This window comes from Homo sapiens, chromosome 10, assembly GCF_000001405.40.
Source record: "Homo sapiens chromosome 10, GRCh38.p14 Primary Assembly".
Lineage (NCBI taxonomy): Eukaryota > Metazoa > Chordata > Mammalia > Primates > Hominidae > Homo > Homo sapiens.
Genome location: NC_000010.11, coordinates 21,088,971 through 21,109,688, shown reverse-complemented (window position 1 = coordinate 21,109,688; position 20,718 = coordinate 21,088,971). Strand labels below are relative to the sequence as shown.

Sequence of the window (20,718 nt, the reverse complement as noted above, 5' to 3'; positions counted from 1 at the left end):
CCAACAACAAGTTCTGAAATTGAGGCAGTAATTAATAGCCTACCAAACAAAAAAAGTCCAGGACCAGATGGATTCACAGCCGAATTCTACCAAAGATACAAAGAGGAGATGGAACCATTCCTTCTGAAACCATTCCAATCAATAGAAAAAGAGGGAATCCTCCCTAATTCATTTTATGAGGCCAGCATCATCCTGACACCAAAACCTGGCAGAGACACAACAAAAAAAGAAAATTTCAGGCCAGTATCCCTGATGAACATTGATGCGAAAATCCTCAATAAAATACTGGCAAACTGAATCCAGCAGCACATCAAAAAGCTTATCCGCCACGATCAAGTCAGCTTCATCCCCAGGATGCAAGGCTGGTTCAACATACGCAAATCAATAAACATAATCCATCACATAAACAGAACCAATGACAAAAACCACATGATTCTCTCAGTAGATGCAGAAAAGGCCTTTGATAAAATTCAACAGCCCTTCATGCTAAAAACTCTCAATAAACTAGGTATTGATGAAACGTATCACAAAATAATAAGAGCTATCTATGACAAACCCACAGCCAATATCATACTGAATGGGCAAAAGCTGGAAGCATTCCCTTTGAAAACCGGCACAAGACAAGGATGCCCTCTCTCCCCACTCCTATTCAACATAGCATTGGAAGTTCTGGCCAGGGCAATCGGGCAAGAGAAAGAAATAAACGGTATTCCAATAGGAAGAGAGGAAGTCAAATTGTCTCTGTTTGCAGATGACATGATTGTACATTTAGAAAACCCCATTGTTGGTAAAGGGATCGATTCACCAAGAAGAGCTAATTATCCTAAATATATATGCACCCAATACAGGAGCACCCAGATTCGTAAAGCCTTAGAGACCTACAAAGAGACTTAGACTCCCACACAATAATAATGGGAAACTTTAACACCCCACTGCTAATATTAGACAGATCAATGAGACAGAAGGTTAACAAGGATATCCAGGACTTGAACCCAGCTCTGGACCAAGCGGACCTAATAGACATCTACAGAACTCTCCACCCCAAATCAATTGAATATACATTCTTCTTAGCACCACATCACACTTATTCTAAAATTGACCACATAATTGGAAGTAAAACACTCCTTAGCAAATGTAAAAGAACAGAAATCACAACAAACTGTCTCTCAGACCACAGTGCAATCAAATTGGAACTCAGGATTAATAAACTCCCTCAAAAGCGCACAACTATGTGGAAACTGAACAACCTGCTCCTGAATGACTACTGGGTAAATAATGAAACGAAGGCAGAAATAAAGATGTTCTTTGAAAACAATGAGAATGAAGACACAACGTACCAGAATCTCTGGGACACATTTAAAGCAGTGTGTAGAGGGAAATTTATAGCACTAAATGCCCACAAGAGAAAGAAGGAAAGATCTAATGTTGACACCCTAACATCACAATTAAAATAACTAGAGAAGCAAGAGCAAACAAACTCAAAAGCTAGCAGAAGGCAAGAAATAACTAAGATCAGAGCAGAACTGAAGGAGATAGAGACATAAAAACCCCTTCAAAAATCATTGAATCCAGGAGCTGTTTTTTTGAAAAGATCAACAAAATAGACCACTAGCCAGACTAATAAAGAGAAAAGAGAGAAGAATCAAATAGATGCAATAAAAATGATAAAGGGGATATCACCACCGATCCCATAGAAATACAAACTACCATCAGAAAATACCATAAATAACTCTATGCAAATAAACTAGAAAATCTAGAAGACATGGATAAATTCCTGGACACATACACCCTCCCAAGACTAAACCAGGGAGAAGTTGAATCTCTGAATAGACCAATGACAGGTTCTGAAATTGAGGCAATAATTAATAGCCTACCAACCAAAAATAGGCCAAGACCAGATGGATTCACAGCTGAATTCTACCAGAGGTACAAAGAGGAGCTGGTACCATTCCTTCCAAAACTATTTCAATCTGTAGAAAAAGAGGGAATCCTCCCTAACTCATTTTATGAGGCTAGCGTCATCCTGATACCAAAGCCTGGAAGAGACACAACAAAAAAAGAGAATTTTAGGCCAATATCCTTGATGAACATCGATGCAAAAATCCTCAATAAAATACTGGCAAACTGAATCCAGCAGCACATCAGAAAGCTTATCTGTCATGATCAAGTCGGCTTCATCCCTGGGATGCAAGGCTGATTCAACATATGCAAATCAATAAACATAATCCACCACATAAACAGAACTAACAGCAAAAACCACTTGATTCTCTCAATAGATGCAGAAAAGGCCTCCGACAAAATTCAACAGGTCTTCATGCTAAAAACTCTCAATAAACTAGGTATTGATGGAACGTATCTCAAAATAATGAGAGCTATTTATGACAAACCCACAGCCAATATCATAGCGAATGGGCACCCTTTGAAAACCGTCACAAGACAAGAATGCCCTCTCTCACCACTCATATTCAACGTAGTGCTGGAAATTCTGGTTAGGGCAATCAGGCAAGAGAAAGAAATAAAGGGTATTCAATTAGGAAAAGAGGAAGTCATATTGTCTCTGTTTGCAGATGATATGACTGTGTATTTAGAAAAACCCATCGTCTCAGCCCAAAATCTCCTTAAGCTGATAAGTAACTTCAGCAAAGTCTCAGGATACAAAATCAATGTGCAAAAATCACAAGCATTCCTATACACCAATAACAGACAGAGAGCCAAATCATGAGTGAATTCCCATTCACAATTACTACAAAGAGAATAAAACACCGAGGAATTTAACTTACAAGGGATGTGAAGGACCCCTTCAAGGAGAACTAAAAACCACTGCTAAACAAAATAAAAGAGGACACAAACAAATGGAAGAACTTTCCATGCTCATAGATAGGAAGAATCAATATCCTGAAAATGGCCATACTGCCCAAGGTAATTTATACATTCAATACTATCCCCATCAAGCTACTACTGACTTTCTTCACAGAATTGGAAAAAACTACTTTAAAGTTCATATGGAACCAAAAAAGAGCCCACATAGCCAAGATAATCCTAAGCAAAAAGAACAAAGTGGGAGGCATCGTGCTACCTGACTTCAAACTATACTACAAGGCTATAGTAACCAAAACAGGCTGGTACTGGTACCAAAACAGATATATAGACCAATGGAACAGAACAGAGGCCTCAGAAACAACACCATGCATCTACAACCATCTGATCTTTGATAAACCTGACAGAAACAAGCAATGGGGAAAGGATGCCCTATTTAATAAATGCTGCTGGGAAAACTGGCTAGCCACGTGTAGAAAGCTGAAACTGGATCCCTTCCTTACACCATATACAAAAATTAATTCAAGTTGGATTAAAGACTTAATGTTAGACCTGAAACCATAAAAATCCTAGAAGAAAACCTAGGCAATACCATTCAGGACATAGGCATGGGCAAAGACTCCATGACTAAAACACCAAAAGCATGGCAACAAAAGCCAAAATAGACAAATGGGATCTAATTAAACTAAAGATCTTCTGCACAGCAAAAGAAACTATCATCAGAGTGAACAGGCAACCTACAGAATGGGAGAAAATCTTTGCAATCTGCCCATCTGACAAAGGGCTAATATCCAGAATCTACAAAGAACTTAAACAAATTTACCAGAAAAAAAACAAACAACCCCATCAAAAAGTGGGAAAGGATATGAACAGACACCTCTCAGAAGAAGACATTTATGCAGCCAACAGACACATGAAAAAATGCTCATCATCACTGGTGATCAGAGAAATGCAAATCAAAACCACAATGAGGTACCATCTCATGCCAGTTAGAATGGTGATCATTGAAAAGTCAGGAAACAACAGATGCTGGAGAGGATGTAGAGAAATAGGAACGCTTTTACACGGTTGGTGGGAGTATAAATTAGTTCAACCATTGTGGAAAACAGTGTGGCGATTCCTCAAGGATTTAGAACTAGAAATACCATTTGACCCAGTGATCCCCTTATTGGGTATATACCCAAAGGATTATAAATCATGCTACTACAAAGACACATGCACACATATGTTTACTGCAGTACTATTTACAATAGCAAAGACTTGGAACCAACCCAAATGTCCATCAATGATAGACTGGATTAAGAAAATGTGGCACATATGCACCACGGAATACTATACAGCCATAAAAAAGGATGAGTTCATGTCCTTTGCAGGGACATGGATGAAGCTGGAAGTGATCATTCTAAGCAAACTATCACAAGGACAGAAAACCAAACACCGCATGTTCTCACTTATAGGTGGAAGTTGAACAATGAGAACACATGGACCCAGGGTGGGAAACATCACACACTGGGGCCTGTCGGGGGGTAGGGGACTGGGGGAGGGATAGCATTAGGAAAATACCTAATGTAAATGACGAGTTGATGGGTGTAGCAAGCCAACAAACATGGCACATGTATACCTATGTAACAAAACTGCATGTTCTGCACATGTATCCCCGAACTTAAAATATAAAAGAAAAAGAAATGAAGATTATTACAGGCCAATATTCTTCATGAACACGTATGTAAAAGTTATTAACAGACTTTTAGCCAATAAAATTCAACAATATGTAAAAAAGATAATATCATCGCCAAGTGGGGTTTCTTCCAAGAATTCAGGGTTGGCATAACCTTAAAAAAGATCAATCAATGTTTTCCATATCAGCAGACTAAAAAGGAAAAACAATATGTTTATCTTAATTGGTGTAGAAAAGCATTTTACTATGCGCAACATCAATTCTTGATAATAACTCTGAGCAAACTGGGCATAGATGGAAACTTCTTCATCCTGATATCGGGCATCTACAAAAAATGTAAAGCTAACGTCTTACTTGATGGTGAAAGACAGAAAGTTTTCCCCTGAGATGAGGAACAGGGTGAGGATGTTTGCCTCATTACTTCTATTTAACATAGTACTGGAAGTTCTTATCAGTGCAGTAAGGCAGGAGAAAGTAATAAAAAGCACACAGATTAGAAAAGAAGGATACAACTACCTTCATTCACAGACCACATGATTGTCTATGTGGATAATCGTAGGGAATCTGAAAAAAAAATCAACTGAACTAATACGTGAGTTTAGTGAGAATGCAGTATATAAGCCAATATAAAAATCATTTGCATTTCTATGTACTGGCAATAAGCAATTAGAACTTGAAACTGAAAACAATACAATTTATGATAGCATCAAAACTTATGAAATACTGGGGATAAATTTGAGGAAAAATGTGTAAAACTTCTACACTGGAAACTACAAAATGTTGCTGGAAAAATTAAATAAGGCCTAGTGAAATGGGGAGATATACAATGCTCATAGATTGGAAGACTCAATATTGTTAAGATATCAGTTCTCCCCAAATTGATCTATATATTTAACATGATTTCAATTGAAATTCCAGAAGGCTCTTTGTTTTGTAGAATTTGACTTGCTGATTCAAAAACACAATTTTGGAAAAAGAAGAACAAAGTTAGAACACTTATAGTATGTGATGTTAAACCTTATTATACAGCTCTGGTAATCAGGACAGTGTGGTAATATCATACAGGTAGAAGATATACAGGGCGATGTAGAGCAGTGATTTTCCACAAAGACACCAAGTTAATTCAGCTGGGTGAGGAGAATTCTTTCAACAAGGGGTGCAGGAACAATTTTATATCCAGAAGCATGAAAAGAAAACAAAACAAAACCTGAGCACTTACCTCACAGCTCATGGAAGAATTAACTTGAAACATATCATAAACTTAAATGTAAGAGTTCAGGCAATTAAACTTCTAGAAAAAAATGTAGACTGTCTTAGTGACTTTGGGCTAGGCAAACATTTTAAGAATATGTCTCAAAAAGTATAACTATAAATGAAAAAAATGGATACATTGACTTTATGAAAATGAAAACCTTTTTCTTTTCAAAAGATACTAATAATCGCATGTCATGACTAGGGAGCCAGAGAATAGGAGAAAATATTTGCAAAATATGTATCACACATATATAAAGAACTCTTGAAACTCAGCAGGAAGAAGACAAAAACCCAATTAGAAATGGGCAGAAGAGTTGAAGGAGCCTCTTTTTGTCAACATCATTAGTCATTAAGTAGATACAAAGTAAAACCACTTTTGTTAGGATGGCTAAGATGGAAAAGGCTGACCTTATCAAGAGTTGAAAAAGGCCTGGTGCGGTGGCTCATGCCTGTAATCCCAGAACTTTGGGAGGCCAAGGTGGGCGGATCAGGAGGTGAGGAGATGGAGACCATACTGGCTAACATGGTGAAACCCCATCTCTACGAGAAATACAAAAAATTAGCCGGGCATGGTGGCGGGTGCCTGTAGTTCCAGCTACTGGGGAGGCTGAGGCAGGAGAATGGCATGAACCCGGAAGGCGGAGCTTGCAGTGGGCCGAGATTGCAGCCACTGCACTCCAGCCTGGGCAACAGAGTGAGACTCCATCTCAAAAAAAAAAAAAAAGGAGTTGAAAAATGTTTGGAGTAACTGGAACTCTCATATGCTCCTGTACATACATTTTATTTTATAAAATAGTACAAATATTTTATAAAATAATTTGGTAGTTTCTTAAAAAGTTAGATACCATACTCCCCAGTGATTCCACTCCAAGATAGTTTTCGAAGAGAAATAAAAACATATGTGTGCCATGGACACAAGGAGGGGAACAATATGCACTGGGGCCTGTCTGGAAGTGGGGTGGGGGGAGGGAGAACATTAGGCTAATACCTGCTGGGCTTAATACCTAGGTGATGGGTTGATAGGTACAGCAAACCGCTATGGCACACTCTTACCTATGTAACAAACCTGCACATCCTGCACATGTACCCTGGAACTATAAAAATAAAAATAAAACAAACAAACAAAAAACATGTGTGCAAACATGTGTTAAAGACTTGTACACAAACATGCATAGCAGCTTTATTTCTGATAGCTCTAAACTACAAACAATCCAGAATTCCAACAGGTACATGGTTAAATTTTGTTATACTCATACAATGCAATAGTACTCATAATGAAAAGGAAATATCAATATATTTAATGACTCTCAAAAGAATGAAAATCCAAGAAATGTCAAGCATGCCAGTAAGACAACTGCACTCAAAGGAAACTCAAAGTGAGTGAAAGGAACCAGACAATAGTAATTTGTCCACACTATATGGCTCAATTTCAATAAAACTGTAGGAAATGCAATTGAATCTATAGCAACAGAAAGCATATTGTTGGTTCCCTGGGTTTGGGTTAGTGGGTAAGGATGGGGAATGCATTACAAAGAGATACAAGGAAACAGTTGATGATGAAAACGTCCATTATCTTGATTGTGGTGATAGTCTCATGGACATGCATATATCAAAATCCATTAAGTTGTGCACTCTAAATATATGCATTATATTGTGAGCCAATTATATCTTATTAAAGCTGTTAAAAAAAGAAGATATAGAGAATTTCGAGACTAAGTTTAGATTGTGCATTGGGTAAGAATCCTAACTTCTGCCTTTGGTGAAACATTTAAGTAGCTTATTAACAGTTGTGGTAGAAGTCTGGACATTTAGAGCAGATGAGACCTTAGGAATGATGTTTGACATTGCAGAGAAGTAAAATGAATTGTTCAGGATAGTTACAGGTAGTTTAATTAAGCCCTTAACGGAATGCTACATTTTGTGACACACCTATGAGAATGTTATGGAAGACAGGCCTGCCCTGTCTACCTTTGTGGCTTCTACTCTGTCTTGGACAATGCTTTGTACACAGTGGTGCTCAGTAAATAGATGCTGGCTAGTCAAAGCGTGATGTTTCCTAAACTGAATTATAGATGAGAAGTGCTTCACTTTCTTGGTATAGTGGAAAGATGCATTCAGTAAGTGGTAGATCTTATTACAGTTTCCACTTATTGAGCTCATTTGGAGTTTCCTCTGGGCACAAAGTTGTTTTAGTGGCGTGCTTGACACTCCTTGGGTCTGGAAGAGCTTCTGAAGTGGAACATAAATTGTGGGGGTACATAGTATTTAAGATCTGAGTTTGGCTGCAAGTGACAGAGAAGCCAAACAACAGTGGCTTAAACAAGGTGGAAATGTACTTCTCTGTCACCTAAGTCCTAGCTAATGCAGGGGCTCTGCTCTGGGAAACCATTAGGGACCCAGGCTTGTTTTCTTTTTTCCCCACCGTCTCTAGGTCTTGCCTTTGTCCAGATGTTTCACAGTGGCTCTTATCATGTCCACTTTCCCTCTAACAAGAAGGGGTAGCAGAAGGAGGAGTGAAAACTACTACCAGAAATTTCTACCCATCACTTCTGCGTGGATTGTTTTAGCCAGAGCTGTTACTTGACCACATTGCCTGCACGTGATCTGGGCATGAAGTCTTACCTTGGAAGAACTGAGAATCGATACTGTGAGGCTGCCTAGCAGCCTTAGCCACAGGGAAGGATTTGAGTATCACAGAAGCTGTAGCCTTACAGATGATTAGAATTCATGGAAAATGATATCATAATGTCTCCCGATTGTTCACTTCTTGCCTCAATTCAGGAAGTGACACAGAGGGGAGACTTGAGTCATGTGGCTAGGAGACAGGCTCACCTTTCTACCCCATCCCTGGTCCATCCACTTCTGCTTCAGGCCTGTGAATGAAGGAAATAACCTCCCCTGTGTCTCTAAAGTTACATTCTGGTGAGTATTTCCTTCCAAAAAAAGCCACAAAATGTTCCCGTGAAAGGTCGATGTGTGGGAATGGAAACTTCGATTAAAACAAACAAAGAAACAAAAACTGTTACAAGAGCCATCTGAGACCAATCACAGGAAATTTGTTATCATCATCTAATGGATAATAGTTTAGTCATTGCTGAGTACTTCACTTTTACAATTTTGTGAAGCAGCTGATTTTCATTTCCACTTTTTCACAGGGAAGAAACGGAGTCATGGAAGGATATAGAATGAAGTAGCTCTGTTCAACAAGGAAATCTGTAGCAAAACCAATCCTGGAAACCCAAACTAGGGGTTTGATATCCATCTCTTTGCCCATCAGGTCATATTTCTTTTGGAGAAAATTAGAAATGATCTAAAGAAAAAGGAAGAAAATTGAAGAACTTTCCTCCCCAAGCCCTGTATTAACAGAATCTACATTTTTCTGTTGATTGCACAGAGGTCAGCCCCCCAGGGTTCACGGGAAACTGGACGGCCTCATCCTCAGAGCCATGCTTTGCACTCTTTATCTTTTACACAGGGTGCAAAAGTGTTGCTTAGCAACATCGATTCTTCCAGCTCTAACAACTGCGGCAGCCCGCACAGCTGACAATGGAGCAGAGTTTGCGAGTGAGCTCCTCATTTTTCAGCTTCTTCACTGTGGCGAGAGGGAATAAAGAAAGAAAAGGCAAGTGGGATGAAAGAAACACAGTCAACAGCACAGCGTGGAAAAGGACCGGCTGATGGTGGGGAATGGTCGGGTACCACACATCCCACACACGCTTAGTAAATGCTCGCCAAGAGAATTAAAAGGGGGTGATCACAGCAGCAGAGGTTAATTAGGGAAACTAAAGAGTCAATAGAATGTGATGGCCGGGCAGTCTGGAAATGGAAGTTTTTGACTGAGTGGGTGTCTAAGCACATTCATCCCCTCCCTGTTTTGGGGTTTTGTTTCTTTTTAGGCCAGGTTATTGGGCGTGTTTTTAAGGGAAATAGAAAGGATTGAGGAGGACTTCTTGTTTTTATTTTATTTTATTTTTTTGCAACTCTGTTATTGGCAAACCTAAATAGGGGTTCAACAGTTTCTTATTGAGTTATAAGTGTTTACAAAGATGTTCAGAACAGCCTGCTTTCAAAACTTCAGTGACTGTAATATCTTGGGCTGGCTTCTTTGGCCTTGTTCAACAGAGGAGTGTGCAACAGTGAACACTTGCAACTGATCTGCAACATTCAAGGTGATTTTAATGTTGGAAATACCCTCATTTCCTGGCTCACAGTCTTTCTCCCTCCTTCCATCCTTTCATGGAGATAAAATGGAAGAACATGTGCTGGCCACTCATATGAGATATTTCAAATCTGAGAGATTACAATCTTTCATATCAAATGCAGTTACGGCCCTTTGTAGAGCAGTTTTCTGAAGTGAATCAGATGAGTTTTTCAGAGCTAAAGGAAGTCAAGATGAAATAAATAAAAGCAGAGAGGAAATTGAAAGGGGTGGTGGTTGGGGGAACATATGTTTTCAGATGATATTTTAAAATAGATGGAGAGCTGATGAGACAGAGATACTGAAAACCGACTCCAGATGGCAGGAATAGCAATGGCAAGCTGGTGTGAAGGGACAGAACACAGGCTGGCACCAGACAGGGGAGGACGCGAAAGGAGAGGAGGGAAGCAAGCTGAGCAAAGCAGCCATGTCGGTGGGTGGGCTACTCAGTGTGTGAGGTTATAGAAGAAGAAATGGGAATCATTGAATTCATACCCGTCACTTTTAGTTTAATAATTTACTCAGTAGGTTCATGTCATTTTAAAAAATGATATGTCTATGAAAAAGGTATATATGCTTCACTCTGTTTTGATTTTATTTTTATTTTTAGAGACAGGGTCTTTCTCTGTTACCCAGGCTGGAGTGCAGTGGCACGATCATGGCTCACTGAAGCCGTGAGCTCCTGGGCTCATGCCATCCTACCGCCTTAGCCTTCCGAGTAGATAGGACCGCAGGTGTGTGCCACCATGTCCAGCTATTTTTTTTTTGGTGGGTGTGGTTTCTTGCTGTGATGCCCAGGCTGGTCTCGAACTCCTGGGCTCAAGTGATGTTTCTGGTTCCACCTTACAAATTGTTGGGATTATGAGATTACAGGTGTGAGCCGCCATGCCTGGCTAGATTTATCTCACTTTGATTTCTTTGCTAAACCTGTGGCTACAGGCAAAACAACTGTTCAAGTGAGAGGCCATGGGGGAAAGCTGGCCAGAGGAGGACTTCCTTAATTTTTTTTGTTTTCTATATACATTCAGCTTATGATGATACATATGTATATAGGAGTGTATTTATGCGCTCCTGTAACAATCTTGTAGGACACCAAATGAACTGAGTTTATCTTCATGGATTGATTGGGAAGGGAGGAATTTTTAAGAGAGGGAATTGAGAAACAAGAAATTATTCCAGGTCTAGCAGTAAGATGTCCAGAATGGCTTCTCATTACTAAGGGAGGTAGAACAAGTCACCCCTATTTCTGTGTGAAAAGATGCAGTTTTATTTGCATAATAATTATTAAATACCATTGGGTTTCCTGAGTCTGCATTTGGTACCATATTTCAATTCAATGAGCATTTATTGATGACCTGCTGTGTGATAGGAAGAGTTGTAGGGCTGCAAAGAGGAAAGAGTCATAGTTTGATCTTTGTCTTTTGTGTGGATGCGTGAAAATGTCTCCTTTCATTTCTGCACTCTCTGTGTGACAGTGTGTGTGAATGTGTACAAGTGTGTGTACGTATGTGTGCACGTGTGAGTGAGAATGTGTGTGTATGTGAATGAGTGTGTGTGTGTGTTGCTATCCTCCTACATGAAAGGGCCCTGCAGCTTTAGCCCTATTGCTGTTATAAATTCATATCCACTCACATTTTTGCCTCTTTTCAGTAGACCCATTGTTACTGATTTCATCCTTTTGCAACATTTAGATAATTGTTGTTATCAGCACTTAGCTACCAGGGTTACAGAAAACATCAAGATTCAAAAGGAGATTATTACGAATGTTCATTTCACGTAGGGTCACAAATTACAGCAGTAACACTTGTCTAGACCATTAAACAAGGAAAAAAATTGGTATACAGAAGGTGACTGCCCTTGTGCTACTAGAGTCTTTCTCATGGAGCTGTGACTATTACATCCATAAAAAAGTCCAATGTCTTCATTTATTGGGCGGTTCCTGTCGTGTTTCAGGGGAATGACAATCATTTCAGTTGTGGTGATTGAAGTCGTTGCTTTGGGTAGCTTGCATTCCAGTTTCATCAGAAATTGACCGAGACTTATCTTTTCTGTTTACACTTCTCTTGGACTTCTTTCATTTGTTCTTGTAGCTTGCCATGGAAACCTGTTTGTAAATCTTTTGTGGGTAATGATGTAACCAGAATAGTACAGGCAGAGCCCAGGGCCTGGCAATATACAAAATGACTCATTTAAGCCATGCTGAAATGGAGGTCAGCCTATTGCTATAGAAAACAGAAAGGACACACCATTGTATTGAGCTCATTTTATTTATGTATTTTTTTGGGGACAGAGTCTCACTCTGTTGCCCAGCCTGGAGTGCAATGGTGTGATCTCGGCTCACTGCAACCTCCACCTCCCGGGTTCAAGTGATTCTCCTGCCTCAGCCTCCTGAGTTGCTGAGATTACAGGCGCCCGCCACCATACCTGGCTAATTTTTGTATTTTTAGTACAGACAGGGTTTCACAATGTTGGTCAGGCTGGTCTCGAACCCCTGACCTTGTGATCTGCCCCACCCCCCCCCCGGACCTCCCAAAGTGCTGGGATTACAGGCGTGAGCCACCGCACCTGGCCGGATATTGAGCTCATTTTATTTGCAAAGAGGCAATGAATAATTATTATAAATTTTATTTGGAAACAATAAAGTATTAGGAGAGTGGAGGTGAAAATTTCCAAAGTAGTGGTATCTGGGAAGGTAAAACTCCTACAAGTGTATTTAAATAAAATATAAGCCAGGAAATATTACCTTTTTTTTTTAAGGATGCCTTGGAGATTTTTGATTGAGCCTTTTTGTAATAGAGAAGGGTAGAGGAATTTGTGGGGAGCTCAGATGAAATAGCTGGGTCTAGAGTGATGCAAAAAGGAGAGATAAGTTAATGAAAGAAAGACCAATGTGATGAAACTAGCCAAAATCTATGTTAAAAAGATATACACTCAGGCCGGGCCTGATGGCTCATACCTGTAATCCTGTCGCAGCTGAGGGAGGAGGATTGCTTGAGACCAGGAGTATGAGACTAGCTTGGGCAACATAGTGAGACTTCACCTCTATAAAAAATTGTAAAAATTAGCCAGACATGGTGGTGAGCATCTGTGGTCCCAGCTACTGGGAAAACTGAGGCAGGAGGGTTGCATGAGCCCAGGAGCTTGAGGCTTTAGTGAACTATGATCAGGTCACTGCTCTCCAGCATGGGTGACAGACTGAGACCCTGTCTCAAAACACACACACACACACACACACACACACACACACACACACTCAAAACCAAGTTGCTCTAAAGCCCGTGTAAACATTCTGTTTTTTTTCTTTAAATAAACTCTTTAATAAAAGGGCTTTTAAACAACTTCTTCAGGCTAATCTAAGATACTAGCCTCAACAGTATTTTTGAGAAGCGAGTTTTATATGCAAATTGTATTATGGTTTATATTCCATGTATATCCAACAAGGGGAATTAGCTGACTGAGGATGAGAATAGGGAAAGGCAGGGAATCAAAGGACAGTGGGAAGAGAGAGGGAAGGACGAGGATCCTAGAACTCAGTGGTATTGAAGTCCACAGTAGTGTTTGTTTCTTTCCATGTATGCTTTTTCCACTCCAAGTCACAATATTAACAACAGGATTATTTTGACATATTACATTTCTCTTTAGGGGAAAATAAATGGACATGCTTATGGGATCTATTTAATCCTATTTAAAGCCTAAAGCACAGCATCACTATTGTGTGTAATGTTACATTTCGAATGTTAGAGCCAGAGGATAATCTGGTCTAACTTTTTCATTTTACTGACTAGGAAGCTGCAACCTACCAAGGTTAAATGACTTATCCAGTCTAGTTAGGGGATTTGTAGAGCTCAGAACCCAGGTTTTCTTACATTCTAGTTCCGTCATCTTTTGAACAGTACTAAGAGGACTCATGGATGAGGGAGGCATGAGAGAGATAACCCCAAGTCTTCCTTGTCATTTTCTCAAAAAGCTGAAGGGAATATATTACATCTCATTGCATCAAGATGAAGCTAACCAGTGACTAGGAGACAGATGCCACTGAGATGTCCCTTTCTCTCTGAGCACCAAGTGCCCCAAATTCAGATTTAAGATGAATTGATTTCAAAAACCTTCAAGATTTAATAGAAAATTGCCATTCTTGTTTGGACTCTACTTACATTAAAATCACATCCTAAATAATCCGATTAGCTTCAAAATCCTTAAGCTTAACAGTTTAAATAGCAGTTTAGTGATTTGGTTTTAAAAGGTACAGTTATGCTAATAGCACCGTTTAACACCCTTAACTCAGCATTTCCCAAAAGTTTAGTGATTTAGAATTTTAAAATTCTACATCGAAGGGAATCTGTAGTTGGTCCTGGCCATCTTTCCTTGTCAACGGTCATCACTCTGACCATGTTCGTCTTATCTTTTATCTGCTTTTCTTAGGCTAGAATTTCCCTGGTTCCATCACTACCTGGGCCAAATGTCTTTACCTTTTACCACTCCCTAGATAACTCCCTGTTGGATGGAACTTTTGTGAGGGTCAGCTTTCAGGGCAGGGGTTCTGAAATCTTAGTGGACTTATGAACAGTCTAGAGAGCTGATTCATGGGCCCCACCTCTAGATTCTGATATGGTTGGTTGGTCTGAGATGAGGCCTTGGAATGTGAATTGGAAACAAACCTTTCTATCTAAGTGAGTTCTCAATGGGATGCAGGTGGTTCCCAGATCATAATGCTTAGTGGTGTCAGATTTTGAATACACTACTATGGATATAGGCACACCTACACTTTGGATCCCTTCACCTAATTATAGGGAGCGTTTTCTGTGTTCTGTCTGTTGGCCCAAGGATTTTCTTCACCATCACCTGGGAAACTATGACGAGAGGGTTCTAGTCTCTCCTACGATACTGCCATTCTTCCAATTGCTGAATCTGGTTCGGTGAAATTAATTTTACAATGTGAGACTTAGAAGCAAAGAGGTGACCTTGCTTTGTCATCTGATGTTAACAGGAGTCTGTAATATTCATGCCACCACCCAAGAGTCCCATTTACAAAGGAGCAGACTTCTGGTCTTCTTTAGCCTTTTTTGTTTCTTCCAACAAAAATCCAGGCTGGAGTGGATTAGGGCAATCTCAGCTCACTGAAACCTCTGCCTCCCAGGCTCAAGTGATTCCCTTGCTTCAGCCTCCGAGTAGCTGGGATTACAGGCACTCCACCACCACATCTGGCTAATTTTTTTTTTTTTTTTTTTTTTTTTTTTTTTTTGAGACGGAGTCTCGCTGTCTCCCAGGCTGGAGTGCAGTGGCACAATCTCGGCTCACTGCAAGCTCCGCCTCTGTGGTTCACGCCATTCTCCTGCCTCAGCCTCCCAAGTAGCTGGGACTACAGGCGCCTGCCACTGCACCCGGCTAATTTTTTATATTTTTAGTAGAGACGGGGTTTCACCGTATTAGCCAGGATGGTCTCGATCTCCTGACCTCGTGATCCGCCCACCTCGGCCTCCCAAAGTGCTGGGATTACAGGCGTGAGCCACCGTCTCCGGCCTACACCTGGCTAATTTTTATATTTCTAGTAGAGATGGGGTTTTGCCATGTTGGCCAGGCTGGTCTTGAACTCCTGACCTCAAGTGATCCTCCCACTTCAGCCTCCCAAAGTGTTGGCATTACAAGCGTGAGCTACCACACCCAGCCCGGTCTTTTTTAGACTCTTAAGGACCCATAAGAACAAATTAAGTTGAGTAGTGATGCTTAATGTGTCAAACCACAGATAAATATAGTTTTCTATGGAAAGCTTAGAATGGAAAATAGTCTTTCACAAAAACGACAAAATGTTTTCTGGTTCCCGCAAAAAATATCTCTGTAGAAAAGAAGGTCAGTGAGAACTTTGTGTGATTCATGGATCATGAGTAACACATGCAATGAAGGCTAAGGAAACCAGTCTAGGACATTTTTATAAAAGATTTTCACAAGAAATGTATTGATTTGTTTACGAAGCAGTAGATTTTTCAGGATAAAATATTGTTCTCCTCTTCCAGTGGATGAGCTTAGATATACCTGAACAAGACAGAGATCTGTGGATACATGAGCTGAAGACATTCTGTATGTCTTTTCCTTTTCTTGGTTCTACCAACTCTTAATCTTGAAGAAAGCACTTAAAATGCTGTGACCCCCATCTGGTTGCATATTCTTTCTCCTGTTTCAGCTTGTTGGCAAGACTGGAAATTTGGAGATGGCATTCAGTTTACACAAGCTTAGCAGCTTATGAACACTGATGGATTTTTTCAGTGCCGATGGAGGGACTGATGAACTTGGCTTTGGGCGTCTGGTTCCCTTGACTTGATGGGTGAGAGGAGGAGACAGAGCAAGCCAAGAGAGATGACAGTCTCCCTTCTCCAGCCCATTTCTTTTTTTCTCACCTATAAAATTTTGTCCAACTCATGGTCCTATGATAAAATGCGTCCAATGCTTCTGGGCTGGTGGACCCTGGCACTACCATTCATGTCTTTCCCAAATACTTATCCTCTGAGTCACCCAGGCAGAAACAGCCAAGTGAAAAGATACCATATCTTGAAGAATCTTCATTTGGCTCTGCTAAAATGGAAAAAAAAAAAAAAAGACTTGTTGCTAAATGAATAAAAGTACTCTTAAAAAATTATTTCCTCTTTTCTCCTTGGTAGATACGCAAGAAGCCAAGAACAAAAATAAAATACAATAAATTGTACAAGGCAATTTAGATTTTCATTATTCTCTTGTCATAAACTGTTCCCACATCAGAGAAAATATACTGTGAGTCCACTTTGGATCCTGTCCATATGGGCTAGCTACTGAAAGTTCCAGAAAGACTTTAGAGTAATATAATTTCACAAGTTGCTTGGCATGGGTCTCTGATGGACAGGCTGGGAAAGCTGATAACATAAGCTGGTGAAAAGGCAAAGGCTTTTTAATGCCTTACTCGATTCATTCTTCATAAGAAATATCAGATGTGAAGGGGCCTGGAACAGTTCCCAGGTTTGATGAAAGTAGAGAGTCAAAATAGAAAAAGAGTTAAAAAGTGCTTTGAAGAACTGGAACTATTTGTATTAGTAAGGCCTGTTGGCTACTAAAGGAACTGGCAGGTGCTACTCTGGTGGTGAGCCATTATTATTATTATTATTATTATTATTATTATTATTATTATTAAATTATAGAGGTAAAAAGAAGTCCATGTGAATTAAAATATAGTATTGTGACTAGCTTATAAAACACACAGCCAGAATAGATTGACAAGGGAAATTATAGGCAGGTCAGACGAACTTCAAATACATGAAGTGATATCGGAATAAATCATCACATAATTTACTGTTACTTCTAGAGGAACATAGTAAAAAACAGGGTTTTGCACAAACTAAATGGTATTAGAGCAATCTAACTGCCTTCTATATTTAGAAGCACAGGCAAACAGTGGGATAGTACTAGATATGTTTATTTTAACTTTGGGAAGCTGGTGCTTTCTCTTGACTGTAGTAATGGCATATCAATGAATGAATGAATGAATGAATGGCACACCCGTAGAACATGTATCCTTGTTCCCACAATCAATGAAAGACCATATGAGTAGTGATAGCACATAACGACCAGTTCTGCTTAATGTATCTTTGGACAACTTGATGAAGAATTGAGAACAGAACTCTTCCATTATCAGATTGCCTGTAGTTGCTGATACTCTGTAAGATACGACATAACTAAAATCGCCCTTAACAAATAGAAGAAAAAGATATGTTATAGGGTTAAATTAGCTATGGGTAAAAATATCAATAGCAAATGCAAGATGAGAAAAAACTATCTGAAAGTGACAAGGTGGGCGTGGTGGCTCTTGCCGGTAATCCCAGCATTTTGAGAGGCTGAGGCAAGAGGATTGCTTGAGTCCAGGAGTTCAAGATCAGCCAGGGTAAGATAGCAAGACTCCATTTCTACAAAAAATAAAAATAAAAAAATTTGCCTTGTGTAGTTGCGTGCATCTGTAGTATTAGCAACTTGGGAGCCTGAAATGGGAGGATCCCTTGAGCCCAGGAGTTTGAGGCTGCAGTGAGCTATAATTGCGCCACTGTACTTCAGCCTTGGACAGAGTGAGACCCTGACCCCCATCCCCCAAATAATATAATAAAATGAAAGTAGCAATCTAAGCATGAATTAATAAGTTCAAGTGGAGAGATGAAGAACAACGACTGAATTTGGGAGAATTTCAGAGGAAACTTGAGGTACTGATAGCTAATTGGATAAAGAAGTGAAGTATTTTTGTTTTGTGTTAACAGTGTATTTTGTAGGCTGCCTATTTGTCTCATACATTTTTTTCATTGTGATAGAAAGAACATAACATCTAGCTAGCATCCTTGATGCTTTATTCTTTTTTATTTATGTATTGAAATGGCCCAGACACATGAACTCTTAAGATTTTTGAGGAAAATGAGAATCCAAGTTCAAATGTTCTGGCAGGAAAATTTTATAACCAAGATGTTTCATAAGGGGCAACCTCCGGCCCCCAACAATGGAATTGCATGTGTAGACATTTAAAGTCTTCTTAGCTAAATGTGAAACACGAACTTGTTTTCTTGACTGCAGTCAAAGGCTATGTTAGTAAGCCAGGAAAGAGATGATGGAGGCTTGAACCCAGTTCACAGTGGTAGGGAAGGAAATACACAGACGAATCCGAGAGAGGTTCAGGAGGTGGAGTTGACCTTGGGGCATGGAGGAGAGGGAGGAATCAAAATTGTGCTGAGGTTCTAGTTGGGGTGGCTGGGTGGGTGGTGGTGGGACGCTGGGAAAAAATTGGCATTTTTGGTATAGAATAATGACCTTGGTTTTGTCTTGTTGAGCCGGAAGTGTCTGCAGGTCATCTGCATGGATCTGCTGGTGGGTTGGAGATGTGTTTCTAAAGCTCAGTAGATAAATGGATCTAGACTGAACCACAAACAGGAAGTGAACAGCAGGGGCCAGCAACGATGAGCTGTGGTGCCTTCTGAGCCAGGAGGAAACTGGCTAATGACAAAACCAGGTGGCGATAGGGCGGCCATTCAGCTTCCTAATTCCTAAAGGCTGGCATTTGGCTCCAAGTGATGTTGTGTGACACAGGTCAGTGAGTTGGATAAGTACCAAAATAAAAGTGTTAAGTGTGACTAATTTGTTTATTGTATAAATATATTCTTATAATTGAGAGAGAAAACAAAGGAGGGAATACAGTCCCTCAATATCTGTGGGGGTAGGTTCCAGAACATCAAGTCCCTGACATAAAATGGCAAAGTGTTTTCATATAACCTACACGCATCCTCCTGTATACTTTAAATCACTCTAGATTACTTATAATACCTAATACAATGTAAATGCTGTGTAAATAGTTGTTGTATTGTTTATGGAATAATGACAAGAAAAGGAATTTCTACACTTTTGTTCAAATATTTTGATTGGCGATTGGTTGAGTTCATGGATACGGAGGGCTGACTGTACTTGTGCCCTTGTGATTTAGAAGATATCCATGTATCTTTGTTTATAGCAAGAATCTTTGTGTGTAGTTTTAGTAGGCAGTGGTTCTTGGGGTGATAAATACTGTTTTGCAAGCACTTCACTGGGAAGACCGTAGCTCTTGGCCTAACCGGACAGGACTTTCATTCTTTCCATTCTCCTGGAGCTCACAGTGCACCTGGAAGATGCCTTTGGCCATGTTTGGTCTGAGTTGTGAGCAGGATGTTCAATGGGACAGCTGGGACTTGGGGCAGAGATCTGGGCTGGAAATACAAACCGGGGAGTCATCAACATAGAGGCCATTTGTACGTTCTGCATATGTGACACACTATAGAAGATGATGTGTAATCATTTTTAAATTTAAAAGAAGGCACAGTGCTACAAATGGGTAATTTTGAATATTGGAACTATGGACATGTTTTTGGAAAACCCATCTGTTTTCATGTTTCTTATTTTAACTCGAATGGGGACTTTTATTCAGAGGAGGATTTGATGTTTATCTGGGCAGGGGAAGGAGGGAGAAAAGGGAGAAGATTCTGTTGTTGAAGCACATTGGTGAGTGAAGGATGCCTCTGCCTCCCCGCTTCCCATTCACCTATCAATCATTGAGAGCAGCCTCCAGTCCTGCCCCCCTTACCCAGGCTTTCACCCACTTTTTGCCAGGTACCAGTACACCACTTTTTGAGTGAATTCAGTGGCTCCCCGTCAGTCTCCTCCTTCTCGGTCTCTCTGCCCTCAGCTTCCCTCTTGCCACACTCACCCGTGTCACCCCCCACCTCTTTGGCTACGTGCTCTTGCTCCCCTTCTCCAGTAACATTCCTCCAAGCTCTGATGGAAATCCTCCATGCTGCGTGTCCCAGTCACTTTGTTCCAACGCAGTCTTGGAGTCCAGGACTTCCATGGCTAGCTCTAAGCTGATGATGCTCATGTTCATATTTGGAGTTCAGCTCTTACCTTGAGCTTCAGGCCTGGGATCCAGCTGTGCCCTGTGTGGCTCCACAGCAGCTCACACTGCTCATATCCAGCCCTGACCTCATGTCACCCCACAGACCTGTCCTTCCTTCCTCCTGCCTAGTTCCTGAATGTCAGCATCCTCTAGACTCCGCTCAAGCAGAAAACTCAAATGTCCTCTTTCACTGCTTCTTCTTTAATTCCCACACAATCCTGTCTAATCAACTTGACCTCCTTAACACCTGTTCTGCCTCCCTTTTTCTGTCTCCTCTGTCACTGCACCATCTCTCCTCATTGAGAGTGCCAGGGGACCCTCATTTCACCCATCTCCCCTCTAGAGCTTCACCTG

General features: G+C 40.4%; 1 protein-coding gene across 10 annotated transcripts in view, besides 1 other annotated feature; it reads left to right on the top strand.

Annotated features, from left to right (window-relative positions):
• NEBL (nebulette) overlaps positions 1 to 20,718 on the top strand; it is a 513,078-nt gene that overhangs the window by 183,362 nt on the left and 308,998 nt on the right. The window lies entirely within an intron of this gene.
• Positions 11,795 to 12,089: an enhancer, noted in NCBI's record as "tiled region #12489; HepG2 Activating non-DNase unmatched - State 9:DNaseU, and K562 Activating DNase matched - State 5:Enh". NCBI's record gives its function as "activates a minimal TATA promoter and a strong SV40 promoter by Sharpr-MPRA in HepG2 and K562 cells {active_cell/tissue: HepG2 | K562}" and the evidence as "EXISTENCE:reporter gene assay evidence [ECO:0000049][PMID:27701403]".